The 21,149-nt window shown below is 39.0% G+C and overlaps 1 protein-coding gene across 30 annotated transcripts in view; it reads right to left on the bottom strand.

The window, feature by feature from the left end:
* Positions 1-21,149, bottom strand: part of RNF111 (ring finger protein 111) — a 109,757-nt gene that overhangs the window by 13,397 nt on the left and 75,211 nt on the right. For 19 of the 30 annotated variants that reach the window (XM_047432702.1, XM_047432708.1, XM_047432713.1 and 16 more), the window contains 3 exons: positions 16,940-17,259; positions 7,808-8,069; positions 2,739-3,087 (listed from right to left, as the gene is read on the bottom strand). In XM_047432702.1, the coding sequence (XP_047288658.1) occupies positions 2,739-3,087; positions 7,808-8,069; positions 16,940-17,259 (931 nt within the window). The remainder of the gene's footprint in view (positions 1-2,738; positions 3,088-7,807; positions 8,070-16,939; positions 17,260-21,149) is intronic. The other 11 variants (XM_047432720.1, XM_047432723.1, XM_047432705.1 and 8 more) reach the window with 1 other exon arrangement.

The raw sequence follows: 21,149 nt of genomic DNA, 5'->3' as shown, positions 1-21,149 counted from the left end.
AGATTAGTCATAAAATAAATTTTATAATAAATTATAAAAACATATAAAATTATTTGTTAATAAATCAAGAAACCATCACCTTCTCCATAAATTCTAATTGCTCATTTATTCCAATGCTTCCAATTCAAATATCACCCAAGGAAAAAGTAATTTTAACATTATCTTGTACACCTTCTTTACAAGTGATATTTTAAATAGGAGAATAATAGGAATTAAATAAAAATAAAATTTTTAAAAATTAAATACCCCAGGCAAATGTTGCAGGCACAAATAAATTATTGTATATAAACATTAAAGCAGGACACATTGAAACCTTAATTTTGCTTCATTTACTCTTATACTGTAAAGACATTCAACCATTTTAATGGATGAAAGTTTAAGAGAAAACAATGTTAACCCTGTGCATTTTTTTTCAAAACACATGTAATACAAGTTAACACACCTAGGAAACGTGTATTTAGCTTGATTCATACTTTTTTTTTTTTTTGGAGAGGAAGTCTAGCTCTGTCACCAGGCTGGAGTACAGTGGCAATCTTGGCTCACTGCAACCTCTGCCTCCCAGATTCAAGCAATTCTCCTGCCTCAGCCTCTCAAGTGGCTGGGACTACAGGTGCATGCCACCACGCCCAGCTAATTTTTGTATTTTGAGATGGGCCAGGATGTTGGCCAGGATGGTCTCAATCTCTTGACCTTGTGATCTGCCCACCTTGGCCTCCCAAAGTGCTGGGATTACAGACATGAGCCAATGTGCCCAACCTCCATTCATACTCTTTATTTTGCATCCCAGTTTACTGTATTTTCTCTTCCTAAAGTCAGTTAACAGAAGACACTAAAAACAACTTAGTTTCAGGGATTCATTTTTTGCTTCTTTTTTTTTTTAAGCGGCAGAATCTTGCTCCAGGATCAAGTGCAGTGGCACAATCATAGCTCAGTGTAACCCTGAACTCCCGGGCTTAAGTGATCCTCCCACCTCAGCCACCTGAGTAGCTGGGACTAAAGGTGTGTGCCACCATACCCAGCTAAGATTCATTTTTATAGTCTAATTATTTTATATTAGTTTTTAACACAATTGCAGATTTTGCATGTTTATTCTAAACAACAATTTGCCAGTTACTGGAAGATAAGACTGTTAAACTGGCAATTTTCTATATAAAAGGTTACTATATTAGAATGGCAGCAACAGCCAGAGATTTGGGATACAATCTTAAATGACAGAAGTAAAACAAAAAGTTACACAAGAGAGCTGGATCATTAATTAGATCAAGAGTTTGGCAAACAGGTTATGTGAAGGGTAAAACGGGAAATTTTTTCAGCTCTACAGGCCGTATGTTCTCTGTTGTAACTACTCAGCTTAGCCTTTGTAATGTGGAAACAGCCACAAACAACAGACACTTTTTCAGTTTGTTTGTAACTGAAAAACTGCAGCTGTTTTCCAATAAAATTTTGTTTACAAAAATCAGTAGGCAGAATTAGACCAATAGTTTGCTGATCTGAATATGAAAATCAGATCCTGAATAATCAAAAGAAAAAAAAGGATTTTCATAAACTTGAAGTACAATATTTTCACTGTCATTCACTGAAAATTCTATTAATACTTTCCTTCCCTCTCGTTAGTAACATTCAAATCTTTGATATCTTTAGATCTTATTCCTCAGAATCATCAATTTTAACACTGATTTTTACCACACGATATTGCAGAAACACACAGACAAAAGATTAGCTCACATCAGACCAGTCTGGGTACTTTTTTTTAATTGGTTTGCATAAAGAAATTAGCCTGGGTCATATGGTAAAACTGGTCAGATTTTACTAAATAACCTGGTATAAACTTGTTTTTTCAACACATACAATTTAGGGAAAGGCAGGGGAAGGTTCTCGTTAGCAAAGAATCAATTTCTTAGTGAAATGAGGATTTAGTATAGTTACTTTTTTGGGGAGAGGGGGAGAGACAGGGTCTCCCTGTGTCACCCAGGCTGCAGTGCAGTGGCATGATCATGGGAGGATCACTTAAGCACAGGAGTTCAAGGATAAAAGAACTATGGTTGCACCACTGCACTCCAGCCTTGACCCCCTGGGCTCAGACGATCCTTTCATCTCAGCCTACCCAGTAGCTGGGACCACAGGAGTATGCCACTACACCCAGCTACTTCCTTTTTTTGGTGGAGACGAGGTCTCCTTATGTTGCCCAAGCTGGTCTCAAACTCCTGGGCTCAAGCGATCCTCCCGCCTCAGCCTCCCAAAGTGTTGGAATTATAGGGGTGAATCACTGCAGCCACCTATCTTTTGTTTTCTACTGTTGTTAAAGGACACAGGGTCTTGCTCTACCACCTAAGCTAGAGTGCAGTGGCACAGTCATAGCTCAGCTTTGAACTCCTGGGCTCAAATTATCCTCCTGCCTTAGCCTCCTGAGCAACTGGGGATTACGGGAATGAGCCTCACCCAGCTTATAGTTACAAGTTACATTATTTCTAAAGACTTCATGGTTTTTTTTGTTGTTGTTGCTGTTCTTTGTTCTTTTTTTAAAAAAAGAAAACAACAACAACAAAAAACAGTATTTCACTGTGTTGCCCAGATGGACTCAAACTCCTGGGCTCAAGCAATCCTCCTGTCTCAGCCTCCCAAGGAGCTGTGACTACAAGTGCATGCCACCATGCCTAGTTGGATTTCAGAGTTGTAAAGACCAATGGAAGTAGAAGAAAAAGCAAACTTGACTTTCTTTTTAAAAACGTAAAACATACGTTGGATGCTGCATCATCCTCCTCCTTTGAACTTCCATCCTCTGCATCACTTCATGAGGATGCAGTCTCTGTGCTGGAGGTGCTGTGGCTGGAATATGGTGCGAAATTGGCTGGTGTGTAGGAGGAAGATGCTGAGGGATTGGTGCAGCTGTACTGGCTAAGTGAGTTGGTGGTGGGGGTGCCACAGGATGAGATGTTGCATGAGAAGATATTTGAGAATGGAAAGCATGTACAGGATGAGGAATAACATAATCCACTTGAGGCGGAGGCTGAGTCTGAGGAGGGGGGTTTCCATGAGAATGCGGGCAGGCAGAAGCTTGATGATGAAGTGGCCTTGTCAAAGAGGCATCTGCAAGAAAAATATTTTGAGTATGTTACATAGGCACCATGCAGTTGAACATATATTGCTATTATACATTCCTAGTGTACTTTTAAACATATTAGTATTTTATTTTTATGAATACTTTATCAAGTAAAGTATTCAAGCAACTGCTCAAGCAACTTGCTCCCTTCTTACAATAATCTTGGATATCTTATGTCAATATATATATTATAGTTTAACTTCACTCACAGCTTCACAACATTCTATTATATGAACACACCAAAATGTACTGACAAAATCCCCACTGATAAAAAAGAAACCCAAATGCTATGATAAATATCTGTGTATATGCTCACTCCTGCACTCACTCTTTCATTTACACACATGTATACACACATATATAGAGATCATTTCTGTAGCATAAATTCCTGTAAGTAGTTGTGGGACAGAAAGAAAAAAATAAATTTAGATGCCAGTTAATAAAAATACCCTTTCCAAAAGGTTGCCATAATTAATATTTCCATCAAGAGTACACAGGAAGGGCCAGGCACCGTGGCTCACACCTGTAATCCCAGCACTTTAGGAGGCCAAGGTGGGCAGAGTCACCTGAAGCCAGGAGTTCGAGACCAGCCTGGCCAACATGGCGAAGCCCCGTCTCCACTAAAAATACAAAAATTATCCAGGCATGGTGATGCACACCTGTAATCCCAGCTACTAGGGAGGCTGAGGCAGGAGAATCGCTTGAACCTGGGAGGTGGAGGATGCAGTGAGCTGAGATCATGCCACTGCACCCCAGCCTGGGCGACAGAGTGAGACTCCACCTCAAAAAAAAAAAAAAAAAAAAAAAAGGAGCACACAAGAAGGCCTGATTACCCCCACATTACCACTAAATTTTTAAAATAAATGCCAATCTGAGAAAAATCTTTTATTTCTTGACCGCTTGTATGTGTTCTCAGAATTATCTATTTACATGCTTAGCCTATTGTATTACTCACCTTTTTCTTATTGACTTGTAAGTATTATTTGCATATATGGAAGCTCTGTCATAATAGGGTGTAAACATTTTTCCAAACTGTCTCTCTCTCTCCCTACCCCATGTCATTATTCCTGTGCTACATTAAGGTGAAGGAGACCTATTTGTTTCCCATCAAATATGGACGTAAAGTCCTTAATAAGATGGCTCCTACCATTTCTTCATTCTACATCTTTATGTTTCAAAGTGACTGCTGAAAAATCTCTCTGAGGAATACACATCTTCCTTACTCTTAGAGATGTGCATCTACTTGACATGTAAAAAAAAAAAAAAAGTTTGTCTTAGATTTCAATACAAATTTCATTTTATTGGAAGATGTTCTTGGAAGTCTGATATAGACCAACAGCCATTCTCTAGTTTCATTACAGAAGTTTTCAATTTTTAATGCTTTTGATTCATTCAGCAAGGGCAGAAGTTAGGTAACAATAACTCAACTATATTTTCAAAGTATGCCTTGTTAGCATGTACTTAAAGGAAACTTTCAACAAATCTAATTTTTAAAAGTTGCAAGACAAATTTTTAAACCAATTTTCTAAAAGTTCTGTTTTCAAATCAATGCTTTACTCTTCAAGAAGGCACAAAGCTCAGTAGCTAGCTCTTAATCATAAAAAATGAATCCACTATGTTTTATGATTGTTAACTATCCTTTCTCAAATTCACAGCATTTTTTCTAGTTGCAAAGTTTTATATTTGTGTAATCATTATACAACATTCACAAATATTACAAAGCAAGAAGTTTTGTTTCAGAATGAGTCCATTTATTTAACTACTCTTTAGACATCACTTTAATTCACTGTTTAAACAAAACAGGTTGCTGACCATTTTAAGAGTGACATATTCCACATTCCCAAAAACCCTTTCCCTTCCTCTATTTGTGTTCCCAACAGTTAAAAAAAGTTCTTGATATTGTTTCCTAGACGTTCAACATATCACTTGCAGATGTAATACTATGCTTTATTCCAACATTTACTCACTGCATTCCCATAGCTTTACAGTGTAGACCATTTGCTTTATGATTAATCGTAAGTAGCCTTACCTATACCTCTCTTTTTTTTTTTTTTTTCTTCTTTTGAGAGGGAGACTCGCTCTATCGCCCAGGCTGGAGTGCAGTGGTGTGATCTCAGCTCACTGCAATCTCCATCTCCCAGGTTCAAGCAATTCTCCTGCCTCAGCCTCCCGAGTAGCTGCGATTACAGGCACCTGCCACCACACCCGGCTAGTTTTTGAATTTTTAGTAGAGACAGGGTTTCGCCATGTTGGCCAGGCTGGTCTTGAACTCCTGACCTCAGGTGATCCACCCGCCTCGGCCTCCCGAAAGTGCTGGGATTACAGGCGTGAGCCACTGTGCCTGGTCTTTTTTTTTTTTTTTTTTTTTTTAGAGACAGGTTCTCACTATGTTGTCCAGGCAGGAGTACAAGGATTGTTCACAGGTGTGATAACAGCACACTACAACCTTGAACTCCTGAGCTCAAGCAATCCCCATGCCTCAGCCTCCTGAAGAGCAGGAACTACATGCTCATACTACCAAGCCAGGCCTTACATATCTTCTCAATACATCTTATTAATAAGATAGTAAAACTTTTAAATAATAGCATTTCAAGTACAGTTGTTTTATCACTTCATCAAGACCACAAACCTTTCAAAAGCAGAGAGAGACATATTCTTACTCCACAAGTATTGTTGTTATACATATAAATGTACTTATGAAACAGCAAACTATTCATCTGGATCCAAGTATCACAATTTATAGCCAATAGGAATTATTCCCATTTTACAAGTGCAAAGAATGTAAGGACAGAGAGATTAAATAACTTATCCAAAGTCACCAAGCTAATTAGTCAGAGCTGGGAGGTCAACTCGAATCTATCCAATTCTAAAGCTAGTGCTCTACTATGCCATATTGTCTTCCCCAGTTCATTCTGGATGAAAAAAGGTTTAAGAACCACATGTTTCACACGTGAACTAAAGCATACGGGAAATGTTTTTTAAAAGCACGGGCAAGTTGGGGAGAGAATACACACACTCCTTCAGGAAAAGAAGCCCAAAACAGAGTTATCAAAATGTCTCTAACAGAAAATAATACAATTTAAATTTCCTACCTTCATTCTCATTAACACACTCCTAATGAGGTGTGTAAATTGATGCAGCCCCTTGGAGAGAAAACTTAACAGTATTTATCTGAAAGTTTAGCCCTCTGACATAGCAATCACATTTCTAGGAAGTTAAACTATACATAAACTCAACCATAAACAACTTTAATGTCCATCAACAGAAGACTGATTTAATATACAATGGATATTATGGGGGTATTAAAAACCAATGAGCTAGATTTTTATGTGCTAATATGCAAAAATCAAAATATACTGTTAAATTTAAAAACAAAAAACAAGAAGTAGAATATGTTTGATTTCCCATTTTTAAAAGGTAAGACATATACCTATCTATGTGTACAAAGAAAATTTCTAAAAGTTTTTATAGAACAGTTACTACCTCTGATATATTAAGATTAGTAAGCTGTGCGAGGAAGCTTTTAAATTCTCATTTTATATGACTGCACAGTCTGAATGTTTTAGAATATAACAAATGAATCTAAAACATGTATTTATTAGGACATTTTGAAAGGAATGAACTTACTCATAAACTGCTTCAGTATATTATTTTTAAAGGGGAGGGGCAGAAAATTAAGCATATTGAATTTCAAATAAAAGATGATCAATCAAAAATGAATACCATCAAGTATTACAAAATAGGCCATGCATCACACTGGTGCTCATACAAAGAATTGGCCCATTGGTCAATGCTTTGTAAAAACTTGCTAAATGTTTTCCAATTTATACTTTAAATTTTAAGTTGCATTACTGAGAAGGTAAATAATATATCACCAGTTTCACTGTACAGATTCTGGGTTGATTCCAGCTGCGTCTGCACGATGCAGATTTTTTTAAATGACTGGAGTAGAAGAAAAAATCCAAGAAGATATGTAAGTGAAAATTACCACTTGCCATGTAATCAAAACAAAACACAAATTTCCTTGCTGACTTCCTGGTTCATTTCCAGCATGAATTTTTGGTGTTTATCAGCCAAGTGTTTATTAAGCTTTCATTTCATTATTAGCTTATGATCTAACAAAATAGTAAATATGTTACATAGCCTTAGAGTATTTATCATTTCTTGTGATATCTAACGAATTTCAATTTCTTTAGAAAAGGCATGGCTGGTTCTATTTTATTTTTATAGAAACGGGGTCTCACTATGTTGCCTAGGCTGGTCTCAAACTCCTGGCCTCAAGCCATCCTCCTGCCTTGGCCTCCCAAAGTGCTGGGATTACAGGAGTGAGCCATCATGCCCAACCATGGTTATATTTTAATTGCCTGCATCAAATGAATATAAAAATCCTTTTACAACTCCCAAAGCTTGCTGTTATGTCTCAGCTAACTGCTTGAGAATTCTTAAAAATTTACTTTACTGTGCCTAGAAATACTACTCAACTTTCACATTTCTTCAGCTATACTAAAGAACAAATCTAAATTCCTTAAAACTTCCATTCAATCCACCTCAATTACATAATACTAACATGGGAAAAAATATACCCTACTCTTAAGCCAAGTAAATACTAAAAATTTAAGAACTGGGATTAAAGGTTATTTCATAAGGAAGTACAAAATGCTTCATTGACATGACTCTAGATTTTGTGTCCACTAAGTATATACTTACAAGGGGGTGGCATGTAATGTCGACATGATGAGAGAGAGGGCTGTGGAGGGGGCTGGGGCTGGGGCTGCGCAACCATGCTTGATCCATAGCCATCTATTGATGATAAAGGTTGACTTGGGGCAGCAGCAGCGGCCTGATGGCCAAAGATTGCAGCTCGGGAGGAAGAAACAGGGCAGCAGGGGTCAAATGCAGATGCTCCATGAAAACTGCCACTTCCATGACTTCTGATACCACTGTTGCTCAGGTCCACTGGCAATGCCTGCTAGATAAAAAGGAAGTATATTTTATCTTTCTAAAGTTTGGTCAAATATTTCATGTTATATTATAAAAGTATTCCTAATATAACCAAAAAAACATAATCTTTAAATTAGTTTGAAACCAGGAAGATTCTTAGTATGAAGAACCAGTGAGCACCAACAAAATACTTGGTTATCTTGAATATAACAAGTGTATCCTGGATTGTGAAAACTGTAGTGGTTTTACAGTTAAACCAATTTTTAAAAATCAAGCATAAGATTTTATCACAAGATGAACAAAAGTTTAATATATTAAAATCTTTTTGTCTTATAACAAATACATCTTAGAAACTTTAAAAATCATACTTCTATATTCTCCTTTATCCCAACATTGTGACTAGTACTTTAGGACTCCTTGAGAAAACATACTATCACACTACTGAAAATATTAAGGTTCTAGGAAAAATCTTGTCTGCCCCAAGTTCCAAACTGTATAAAGCAAGAATTCAATTAAAGTGCTAATAAACAAATCTACATTATTCAAAATAACAATGGACATAAGATTTTTCAGACTAAATCATGAATTACCTTTGCCACTCAAAGCTTTCACTTGTTCAAAAACATAAGAATAAAAAAAGTTAAAGCACTGCTTCCTTTTATAGGCATATTTATTGCATTTTATAGGCACATTTAGTGCTTTGCAGATGTTCGGGGTTTTTTGTTTTATTTTTAATAAATTGAAGGTTTGTGGCGACACTGTGTCAAGCAAGTCTATCAGAGTTATTTTTCCAACAGCATGTGGAAACTCTGTGTCTGTGTCACATTTTGGTAATTCTCTTAATATTTACATTTTTCTCATTATTATTTTATCTGTTATGGTGATATTTGATGAGTAGTCATTGATGTTACTATTATAATTGCTTTAGGCACCAAGAACTGTGCCCATATAAGACAACAAATTTAACAGATAAACATGTGTGTCCTGACCAGATGTTTCCCCATTACCCTGCTCTCCTCTCTTTGGGCCTCCCTATTCCCTGAGACACAACAACATTGAAATTAGGCCAATTAATGGCCTCTGGTATTGAAGTGAAAGGAAGATTTGCACATCTCTCATTTTAAACCAAAACCGAGAAATGATTAAGCTTAGTGAGGAAGGCATGTCAAAAGCCCAGAGAGGCCAAAAGCTAGGCCTCTTGCACCAGTTAGCCAAGTCATGAATGCAAAGGAAAAATCCTTGAAAGAAACTGAAAGCACTCCAGTGAACACACAAATGATAAGAAACTGAAACACCCTTATTGCTGATCTAAAGAAAGTTTTAGTGATCTAGATGGAAGATCAAACCAGCTACAATATTCTCTTAAGCCAAAGCCTAAGCCAGAGCAAGGCCCTAACTCTTCAATTCTATGAAGGCTGAGGGAGGCAAGGAGGCTGCAGAAGAAAAGTCTGAAGATAGCAGAGGTTAGTTCATGAAACTGAAGGAAAGAAGCTATCTCTATAAGATAAAAGTGCAAGGAGAAGCAGCAAGTGCTGATGTAGAAGCTACAGTAAGTTATCTAGAAAATCCAGCTAAGATCATTTATGGAAAGTGCTACAGTGAATAACAGATTTTCCATGTCGACAAAACAGCCTAATATTGGAAGATGTCATCCAGGACTTTCATAGCAAAGAGAAGTCAATGGCTGGCTTCAAAGTTTCCAAGGACTGGATGATTCTTGTTAGGGTCTAATGTAGCTAGTGACTTAAAATCCAATGCTCATTTGCAATTCCAGAATTCCCAGGGCCCTTAAGATTTATGCTAAATCTATTCTGCCTGTGCTCTATTAACAAACAACAAAGCCTAGATGACAGTACAGCTATTTACGTGGTTTACTGAATATTTTAAGAATACTGTTGAGACCCACTACTAAGAAAAAAATATTCCTTTCAAAATGTTACTGCTTGGCAAAAGTGAGACCTTTTCTCAAAAAAGAAAAAAGAAAATTGCTGTTTCTTGACAATGCACATAGTCACCAAAGAGCTCTGATGATGTATAAGTAGATTAATGTTTTCATACCTAACACAACATCCAGTCTGCAGACTATGAATCAAGGAGTAATTTCAACTTTCAAGTCTTACTATTAAAGAAATACATTTCATAAGGCTATAGCTGCCATAATAATTCCTCTGATCAATCTGGGCAAAAGTAAATTGAAAACCTTCCAGAAAGGAGTCACCATTCTAGATGTCATTAAGAACATTTGTGGTTCATGGAAGGCAGTCAAAATATTAACATTAATAATTTGGAAGAAGTGGATTCCAAGCCTCATGCACACTTTGAGGGGTTCAAGACTTCAGTGGATGAAGTAACTACAGATGTCGTGAAGACAGCAAGAGAACTAGAATAAGAAGTTGGAACCTGAAGATGTGATTGAATTGCCGTAAATCCTGATAAAAGCTGAATGAGTTGCTTCTGACGGAGGAGCAAAGAAAGTAGTTTATTTATTTTTTTTTTTTTTGGAGATGGTGTCTCACTCTATTGCCCAGGTTGGTGTGCAGTAGTGCAATCTTGGCTCACTGCAACTTCCACCTCCCAGGTTCAGGCAATTATCTTACCTCAGCCTCGCGAGCAGCTGGGATTACAGGTGCATGCCACCACGCACCTAATTTTTGTATTTTTGTATTTTTAGTAGACACAAGGTTTCACCATGTTGCCCACGCTGGTCTTGAACTGCTGACCGCAAGTGATCTGCCTGCCTCAGCCTCTCAAACAAAGTGCTGGGATTACAGAAGTCAGCCACTGCACCCAGGCTCTTTTATTTACTTTTGAGACAAGGTCTCACTGTGTTGCCTACAGTGGAGTGCAGTAATACAAACGTGGCTCACTGCAGCCTCCACCTACCCAGCTCAAGCAATCCTCCCAACTTCAGCCTCCCAAGTAGCTAGGACCACAGGCGCGTGCCACTGCACCCAGCTAATTTTTAGATTTTTTGTAGAGACAGAGTCTTGCCATGTTGCCCAGACTGGTCTTTAACTCCTCCCACCTCAGCCCCACAAAGTGTTGGGAGCAAATGCATGAGCCAGCATGCCCAGCTGGAAGTGTTTTGTTTTTTTTTTTTTAATAAAAAAATTGCAGGGCCCCAGACACATCATTTAAACAAACAAACAAACAAAAAACTGCAGCAAAAGTGGTTTCTTGAGATAGAATCTTCTCCAGGTAAAGATACTAGGAAAAAGATGGAAATGACAGGCCGGGTGTGGTGGCTCACGCCTGTAATCCCAGCACTTTGGGAGGCTGAGGCAGGCAGATCACGAGGTCAGGAGATTGAGACCAACGTGGCTATCACGGTGAAACCCCGTCTCTACTAAAAAATACAAAAAAATTAGCCAGGCGTGGTGGCGGGCACCTGTAGTCCCAGCTACTTGGGAGGCTGAGGCAGAATGGCATGAACCTGGGAGGTGGAGCTTTCAGTGAGCCGAGATCACGCCACTGCACTCCAGCCTGGGCAACAGAGCGAGGCTGTCTCAAAAAAAAAAAAAAAAAAAAAAAGATGGAAATGACAGCGAAAGATTTAGAATATCACATCAACTTAATATATTACATTAGTACATCACATAAACTTAAAGCAGCTGCAAAGTTTGAAAGGATTGATTCCAATTCTGAAAGAAGTTCTATGGGTAAAACACCATTAAACAGCATCATGTGCTACAGAGAAATCTTTCATGAAAGTAACAGTCAATCAATGCAGCAAACTTCATTGTTATCTTACTTCAAGAAATTGCCACAGCCACCCCAATCTTTAGGTACCACCACTTTCATCAGTCATAGCCACCAACATTAAGGCAAGACCCTCCATCAGCAAAAAGTTTACAATTTGCTGAAGTCTCAGAGGATTGCTGGCATTTTTAAAAAATGTATTAGCAATAAAGTATTTTTAAATTGAATTATTTTTAAACTGAAACATGTACAATAAGGTATTTTTAAACTGAAGTATTTTTAAATTGAAGCATGTACATTTTTTCAAACATAATGTCACTGTGCAGTGGACTTAGTACAGTGTAAATATTAAATTTTATATGTACTGGGAAACAAAAAAATTCATGTGACTTGCTTTATTGCAATATTCACTTTATTGTATTTATTGTGGTTGTCTGGAACCAAACCTGCAGTATCTCCAAGGTATGCTTGTATTAGGAATACGATTTTAGGGAAAGCCCATCAACTAAGTTGGGAAATAAACCAGAGGGTAGATTCCACTTCCACTCATCAGTAATATTTTCCTCCAAAAACTTTATTTTTTTTTTTTTTTGCGACAGGATCTCTGTTACCCAGGCTGGAGTGCAGTGGCACAATCTTGGCTCACTGCAAGCTCCACCTCCTAGGCTCAAGCGATTCTCCTGCCTCAGCCACCCACAAGAAGCTAGAACTAAAGGCACGAGACCCCACGCCCAGCTAATTTTTGTTTTTTTGTTTCGTTTTGTTAGAAACGGGGTTTCACCATGTTGCACAGGGTGGTCTCGAACTCTTGCGGTCAAGCGATCCACCCGTCTCAGCCTCCCAAGGTGCTAGGATTTCAGGCGTAAGCCACTATGCACTGCCTTCCAAAAGCATCTGGAAAAATCCTAAGCAAAACACTTTCACCTCTACTCTATAGCAAAGGCAAGAATCACTTCTTCGTATTCTTTTTTTTTTTTTTTTTTTGAGATGGAGTCTCGCTCTGTTGCCCAGGCTGGAGTGCAGTGGTGCAATCTCGGCTCACTGCAAGCTCCGCCTCCCGGGTTCAGGCCCATTCTCCTGCCTCAGCCTCCCGAGTAGCTGGGACTACAGGCACCCACCACCACGCCCGGCTACTTTTTTTGTATACTTAGTAGAGACAGGGTTTCACCATGTTAGCCAGGATGGTCTCAATCTCCTGACTTCATGATCCGCCTGCCTCAGCCTCCCAAAGTGCTGGGATGACAGGCGTGAGCCACCGCGCCCGGCCACTTCTTCGTATTCTTGAATACAAACCTACTGCTTAGGTTCAGTGGAACCATACTTTTCAAAATGTGATGAAAGATCATAAAGATCTGATGTTATATATGGAATTATATACAGCAACTGTGCAATACTGGAAGCTGAGGGGCTGGAGATGAAAAAACCTAGGGTAATGCATTTGTCAAAGGCTCAAGTCACCCAACAGTCCCGAGAGGAACCACAGCATTCTTTTTAATTTCAGTGAGCTCTAGGTTTAGGGGGAATAATAGAAACAAAAGGAACTCTGGGTGCTGAAAGGAAAGGGGTGTGATGATACTCAAGTTGGGAAAGAGAAAAGGAGGAGCTCCTTTCTTTTGTATTATTTATCTACAATCAAGTATATGTCTGTTCTCCTTCTGTTGAGCTGTACAATCAAGTATATGTCTGTTCTTCTATTGAGTTGGCAAATACAATGTATGTCTTCAATGCAGGTAAATACGGTTTAAGAATAATGTTTTAAGACTGAATTTATGTTTATGGTTCAAATCCTTTCCCTACTATTTAGACTAAAATTAGCAAATGGACTAGAATATCAACATCTTATGAAGGTGACCAAATTTCATTTTATCTTCATCTCTAGTCAGTGATTAAGAACATTCCCAGAGTAAAGTAATTCCTAGAAGAAACTGAGGGTAAAATTAAAGAATAAAGGGAAAATAAAAACAGTAATGAGAACCCTCTTCTTCACAATTCCAGTTCATTCAATTCTTATTCCCGAAGGACAATCAAGGGTAAGCAAGATGAGTATAGTGATGGGACATAATAATTGGCTTACACAGATTATAAATGATGCATCACACTAATTAAACTACTAGGCACAGTGGTACATGCCTGTAGTCCCAGCCAATTAGAAGTCTGGGGCAGGAGGATTACTTAAGCCCAGGAGTTTAAGGCCAGCCTGAGAAACAAGGCAAGATCCTCTCTAAAAAAAAAAAAAAAAAAAAAAAAAAAAAAGCAGGAGGTGGGGTGGGGTTGGGGGGTGGGGATGGTGTGGCAGGGGTGGGTAGGGATGAAAGCCATATCATATCAAAGCAAGCAGTGAGGGCTATCTACATGACTACTGCATCTTCTCGGTATGCCAGTCTAATTTTTATTTGACTACGCACAATCTGGCACTCAAACATAAGATATCTACAAAATCACAAATCTCAGGTTTTGTTTGCTTCTTCTGCTCCTCTACTTTCTGCTGTACCCAAATAGGTCTAAAGTGAAGACTATATGAAGCTATTTTATGAGCATTTGGTTAATTTTAGAGTCCTACAAACATCAACATGAGTCTCAAACTGTTGTCTTCAAAAATCTCACTCTCTTTACCTTCAAATCCATTATCACCACTGAATGCCTGTGATCCTGCTGATTCTTCTCAAGTTTTGTTTGCAGTCCAAATACTTCTACTAATACTTACAGGTGGGTAAACGAGTTATATTTATTTTACACTGAACAGACCTGTAAAAGAGATCCTACCTACAACTGACTCAAGCTGAAATAAAAAGTTGTATACATAATTGATGTCTCAAACTAGCTGTATTATTTTATTAATAACAAAATATTCTGTAAATGAGACTTTTGGCAGCTCTTTAATGAATGTAGGAAAAGCTGGTAGACCCACCTCTTCACCATTTTCCTACAATATTTATGAAGCATCATGTAACCAAATTTACAGCAAAACAAAGTTATACTTCCAAGCAGATCCTTTCATTCAATCCACTGGAAAATTCTTCTTGATGCTCCCTCGTTCCCAAGAGATAGGACAGGTCTGGACAATCCATTAATACCAAGAAATGTTACCAAAACCGAAATGACATCTAAAATCTCTTTAATTATATTTTCTACTCAATTCAAACTTCCTCTTGATAGGACCAGCTGTATTTTCAAAGAGAATACAACTCCTTTTTTTTTTTTTTTTTTTTGAGACGGAGTCTTGTTCTGTCGCCAAGGCTGGAGTGTGGTGGCATGATCTCAGCTCACTGCAATCTCCGCCTCCCACGTTCAATCGATTCTCCTGCCTCAGTCTCCTGAGCAGCTGGGATTACAGGCACGCGCCACAGACCCAACTAATTTTTGTATTTTTAGTAGAGATGGGGTTTCACCATGTTGGTCAGGCTGGTCTCGAACTCCTGATCTCGTGATCCACCCACTTTGGCCTCCCAGAGTGCTAGGAATACAGGCATGAGCCACCGCGCCCAGCCCTTGTTAATTATTTTTAATCTGTCAGACCCAGAAGACATACCATCAAAATTTTAAAAGATGAGGCAAGTACTTTAGGAAAGGTCGGGTGACATAGAAAAGTGGTAGCTTGGCCGGGCACGGTGGCTTAATGCCTGTAATCCTAGGCAACAAGAGTGACACTCCATCTCAAAAAAAAGAAAAAAAAACGAACTTCGGAGTCTTGCTCTGTTGCCCAGGCTGGAGTGCAGTGGCACGATCTTGGCTCACTACAACCTCCACCTCTAAAGTTAAAGTGATTATCCTGCCTCAGCCTCCCGAGTAGCTGGGACTACAGGCACACACCATCACACCCAGCTAATTTTTGTATTTTAGTAGAAATGGGATTTCACCATGTTGGCCAGGCTGGTCTTGAACTTCTGACCTCAGGTGATCCACTTGCCTTGGCCTCCCAAAGTGCTGGAATTACAGGCGTGAGCCACCATGCCAGCCTCTTTGACTTTTTTTGCAGCACTTTTTTTCTGGAATAGTATATGTCAAAATTACAATTTTTCTCTGAAATTACATCTTTTGTTTTTTGTTGTTGTTGTTGTTTTTTGAGACAGCATCTCACTCTGTCGCCCAGGCTGGAGTGCAATGGCGTGATCTCAGCTCACTGCAACCTAAGCCTCCCGGGTTCAAGCAATTCTCCTGCCTCAGCCTCCTGAGTTGCAACACGCAGACTTATATCATAATCGTACATGGAAGTGACATAACAAAAGTTAAAGTAGCATGGAACGCTTGACTTCTTTTACTCCACGTGATTGCCAATACTAATTTAATACTAGTTGACATTTTGCGAACTCAATAATAATACCAACTAATTTACTTAATTATAATTTTTTGCTGACATTTTGATTCTCCATAAACTGAAAACCTCATCTGCCCCTGAGAAAACATGCTACAGGTCTGCAAATGAGAAGGCTGTTTATTTTTAGATGAGTGAAGGTTATAGTGAACTCTACAGTAGGAGGTAAAAGGGGAAAACTGGGAGAATTTTCCAATTTTTCATGAATTAGCTGGACACTAGAGTTTCAACAATTTGTTTAAAGTAAGATCCCAAAAATCAGATCCAACTGTATTTAACTAAAAACATCAAAAGCCTTTTTAAAAAGTGATTTTTAGATTAAGTATCAGTTTTGATTACCCACATCCCTGGTCCATTCAATTAGTTGTAATAATTTAGTCCATCTAAAAATCCCAGAGACTTAATTAAAAAGAAACTACAGACCACTAAATTAGGCCATTTTCGAGTGTAAGAATGTGATTAATTTAGTGTATAAAATCTATCCCTAGGGGTTTTTTCCTCTTCCCAAAGCCACCACAATTAAAAAAGAAAGGTGGGTTGGTTTTAACGCAAGTAGTTACTCCCTCATGCTGGGTTTTCCAGCCATCTAAAACAGGAAGAAGGGGAAGGGGAAGGGAAAGGAGAAAGGAGAGGGAAGGAATGAAGGGGAAGAGGAAAGGGAAGAGAGGGAAGGAAGGAGGGGAAGAGAGGAAAGGAAGGAAGAATGGGAGGGAGTTAAAAAAAAAAAAAGGAAACGGAGGGAGGCAGGGAGGGAAGAAAGCAGGGAGAGAAATGGAGGGAGGGAGAGAGACAGGAATGAAGGAAGAGGAAGAGAGAGAAAAGGGAGAAGGAGAGAGAGAGAGAGACAAGAGGGGCAGGAAAGAAAGACTGACTCAAATTCCACATACCTGTTCATGATAGCTGGTACCAGAACTACTATTTGCTCCACAAGGTGCTTGTACTTGTGGAGGTCTTTCCACAGGGCAAGCAGGATCACTAAAGGAAGGAGAAACTGGGACAGCTGGGTGGGGAGTATGGTGGTGGTGGTGATGATGTTGAAAATGGTGACCATGCTGCTGAAAGCAACTTGTATGAGGATGTCCTAATGCATGGTGGTTCTGTGACGACCCTCCACATGGTGAGTGCTGGGGACAGCAGGAAGGTAACCTTGGCATTGCAGGAGGGCCAGTTTCCGTTACAGCACTAGATGTAGTTCTCCTTGAGTCATCTTGAAACAGAAAAAAATGCACAGAATAATCAAATCATGAAATATCACTGTGTAAAAAAATAGGTATGGGGTATAAATAATAAATGTTTAAAGAAATGTTCGGTAATTTCAAATCTCTGTAAATAATGTGATAGTGCCACGTTCTTTTTTTTTTGAGATGGAGTCTTGCTGTTGTTGCACAGGCTGGAGTGCAGTGGCGCCATCTTGGCTCACCAAACCTCCGCCTCCTGGGTTCAAGCGATTTTCCTCCCTCAGCCTCCTGAGTAGCTGGGATTACAGGCATGCACCACCACGCCCAGCTTATTTTGTATTTTTAGTACAGATGGGGTTTCTCCATGTTGGTCAGGCTGGTCTTGAACTCCCAACCTCAGGTGATCTGCCCGCCTCAGCCTCCCAAAGTGCTGGGATTACAGGCGTGAGCCACCACACCCCGGCTGATAGTGCCATATTCTTAACATATACATCATATGATTTTATGCAGTGGTCTTCACTGGGATTTTCCTGAAACTCTAAATTCTTCAGGAGGCTCATATTTACTGTGATGTGTAAGTATGGCAATAGATCATGTTTTCCTATGGCACAGTAAATGATTTATTACCAGTAAAACTGTATTTTAAAAGTTTAAAAATACGAGTCCTTCCACTACATGCTACAAAGCAAATGCTCTTCCCCTGAGCTCCATGAACCCCTAATATCATAAATCCTTCCTACATAATGCAGGCAGCTATGTACTTCTTAAAATCTCACCTTAAGACACAGCCAGCCAAGTCAGAGTGTATCTGGTGAAGTCTCACTATCCACCAACACAAATATATACATTGTATATATTTGCTCAACAGATTCTCCTGCCTCAGCCTCCTAAGTAGCTGGGACCATAGGCACACACCACCACGCCTGGCTAATTTTTGTATTTTTTGTAGAGACAAGATTTTGCCACATTGCCCAGGCTGGTCTTAAGCTCCTTCCAGAGCTCAGGTGATCCGCCCACCTCAGCATCCCAAAGTACTTGGATTACAGGCGTGAGCCACCATGTCTGGGCCATTATCTTTTTTCCTTCCTTTGGACTCTACAGTCAGAACCAATAGAATGTAAGAAATGATTAGACTCTAATACTTGGAAAATAAAATGTGCTTTAAAGTAATCTAATGACTTAGTGTCACACAGTGGGAAAAGAAACATGGAGTCAAATGAATCTGGGTTCTAATCTGGGACCTTTCTTTCAGCAATGTGACCTTAGGGAAGTTATTTAACCTCCTTTTCATCTATAAAATGTGGTAATAAAATTGCCTTGCATGGTTGTTAGAAAAGATAAATTTCTCAGTATAAAACACATGAGTCCTGATTATGCTCTCCGCCACATGCCCAGTTATTTTGAAGGTATGTTCTTCTATGGCAGAAGAACTGCAAAAGTATCCTCTGAAAGTCTGTCCCAGTGTTTCAAATTCATTTAAAACCTAGAAACGCTTCCTCAAACTAAATATTATATGGAAACTATATAAAAGAGATTTTTAAAACTTGAAGCTTCTGATTAAATTACAAGAGTGAAGAGCCTAAAGCCAAAGCCCCGCCCTGCTGCCATCCTTAACCCCCTACTCTGATTCTGAGGCATCTCCTCAGAATCCTTAGAATTCTGGAACATTACTGTCCTAGCCTTGATTTTACAGTACCCAAGAGTAAGGATACCCTGCTCCTATGGGGCTCAAAGTACCTAGCTAATCTCTTCTGGGTCAATGTATCAATTAGGAATCTTCTGCTTGTTTACAAATAAAATAAAAATCCAACCAAAACAGCTTAAATAATAAAGGGAATTATGGGTTCACATAAATGAACCTGGGTAGGGGGGTGCTTCAGGCTCTGCTTGGTAAGATTCAGCAAATTTCCCTAAAATTCTCCTGGCTCTGCCCTCTCTTACATGTCTTATCCTGCCTTTCCGGATTCTCATCTCTTCAAGGTCTGTGCTCTAACCTCTGTTACACAGTAGCTCTAATCTAAATTTCTGTATATTCGTTTTTTCCAAGCTGCTAGTCTGGCCTATGGGGGCTAATCTCCCAAACCCTTTTGTAAAGGTTCTTAACCTGGGAACTAGAATTCACGCGTCTGTGAACTTGGACGGAAGAAAAATACAAACTGACACTAACCTCTAACTGCCCCTAGAATTATGTTAAATATTGTAATTTGTAACAAAAAAACAAAGTCGACAAATTATTTCCTTTTTTTTTTTTTTTTTTGCGACAAAGTCTTGCTCTGTCGCCCAGGCTAGAGTGCAGTGGCGCAATCTCCACTTACTGCAAGCTCTGCCTCCCGGGTTCACGCCATTCTCCTGCCTCAGCCTCCCGAGTAGCTGGGACTACAGGCGCCCGCCACCAAGCCCGGCTAATTTTTTTGTATTTTTAGTAGAGACGGGGTTTCACCATGTTAGCCAGGATGGTCTCGATCTCCTGACCTCGTGATCCACCCACCTCGACCTCCCAAAGTGCTGGGATTACAGGCGTGAGGCACCACGCCCGGCCAGATTATTTACTTTTTAGAACAAATAATAGCAGTTCCAAAGTCAGTTCTATAATTATGTTACTTTCATTCACTTGTATTCCAAATGTGTTGAATAACCTGGTCAAGTGTTAAAACTAGCATATCAGGAACTGACCATGATCAAAAGTCTTTTAGGGCTATGCTGAACCCAACATTAAGTAACTGTTTCCTATAAATTATAATATGTATAGTAATTACTCATTATTACAGTAGCTTTACTTGCTACAGCATTTTCAGGGTTTTATCTTAGTCTCTATGTAAAAGTGTTATACAAGTCAATATCATTTATTGTGTATTGCATCAGGAAAAAAAGGTTGAAAACCTTTGGGATACTAAGCTCACTCACTGGGATACGCTAAATTACCTTCATGGTTCCTTCCAACTCTGACACTTTAATTTTACAAACCAAGTTATTTGAGGATTACGTTGACTCTAAAAGTCAGGGTATGAGTTTGTAACCATCACTAAAGTGATGGATATGACATGTATCTGTTCAGAAACAGCTTGTCCTCTTTTGCCTTCGAGCATTTTGAATATATATAGTCCAGAACCTCTTTGTTTCTCAAACAGGCTTGCATCCAAAACTAAAGACAACCAATTAGCCTCTCATTCGAGAGTTACTACCCAAATAAAACTGTCATAAATTAGAGGTGAAATACAGAGATATATGATTCAGTAAATAAAACACTTCCTTTTCTATTAAAATTAACCCATAGAGGGCCCACTAAAAATGAGACAATCATGAACCTGCATTAGGGAAATTAACTCCACAACCCAGGGACAATAATTTGGTTAAAGTGCCTCCTAGGAGTGCCTTCAGTAACTCTAGCAGGATTATCGAGAGGCAGGCATGAATTACTCATTCATTCAACAGTCTTACACATAATAAAGTCGTGGTAAAAGATCTACAAAAGGCACTGGATAATACAAAGGTGAAAATGAAAGTCCTGGCCTTTAACATAACTTACGGTATGGTCTGCTTTTGCTGTTTTTATCTCTAGCAACCAGAAACATGCTTGCACAATGTAGGTGGCTCAATAAGCACTTTCTATATTTAATTTCAACTCACAAGGGAAAAGCAGCATGCAATCATGTAGCTAAGCGCCAAGAAGAGAAACACTTGCTCTTTGGCCCTTAAGGAAGCTCATCATCAAGCATGGAGACAATTTAGGATACAAATCAACCAGTATTAGAACAGAAACACTGGGTTCTAGCATAGCATAAAGCAATGCTGTCCCCAGTATCTGGCAATGCCTGCAGACATTTTTGGTTGTTACAATTGGAAGGGAGGTGATGTTACTGGAATTTAGAGGCTACAAACCAAGGATGCTGCTAAATATCCTGTAAGCACAGCCTTTCCC

Source organism: Homo sapiens, chromosome 15, assembly GCF_000001405.40.
Source record: "Homo sapiens chromosome 15, GRCh38.p14 Primary Assembly".
In the NCBI taxonomy this organism is placed as follows: Eukaryota; Metazoa; Chordata; class Mammalia; order Primates; family Hominidae; genus Homo; species Homo sapiens.
This window is presented reverse-complemented; position numbering and strand designations above follow the sequence as displayed.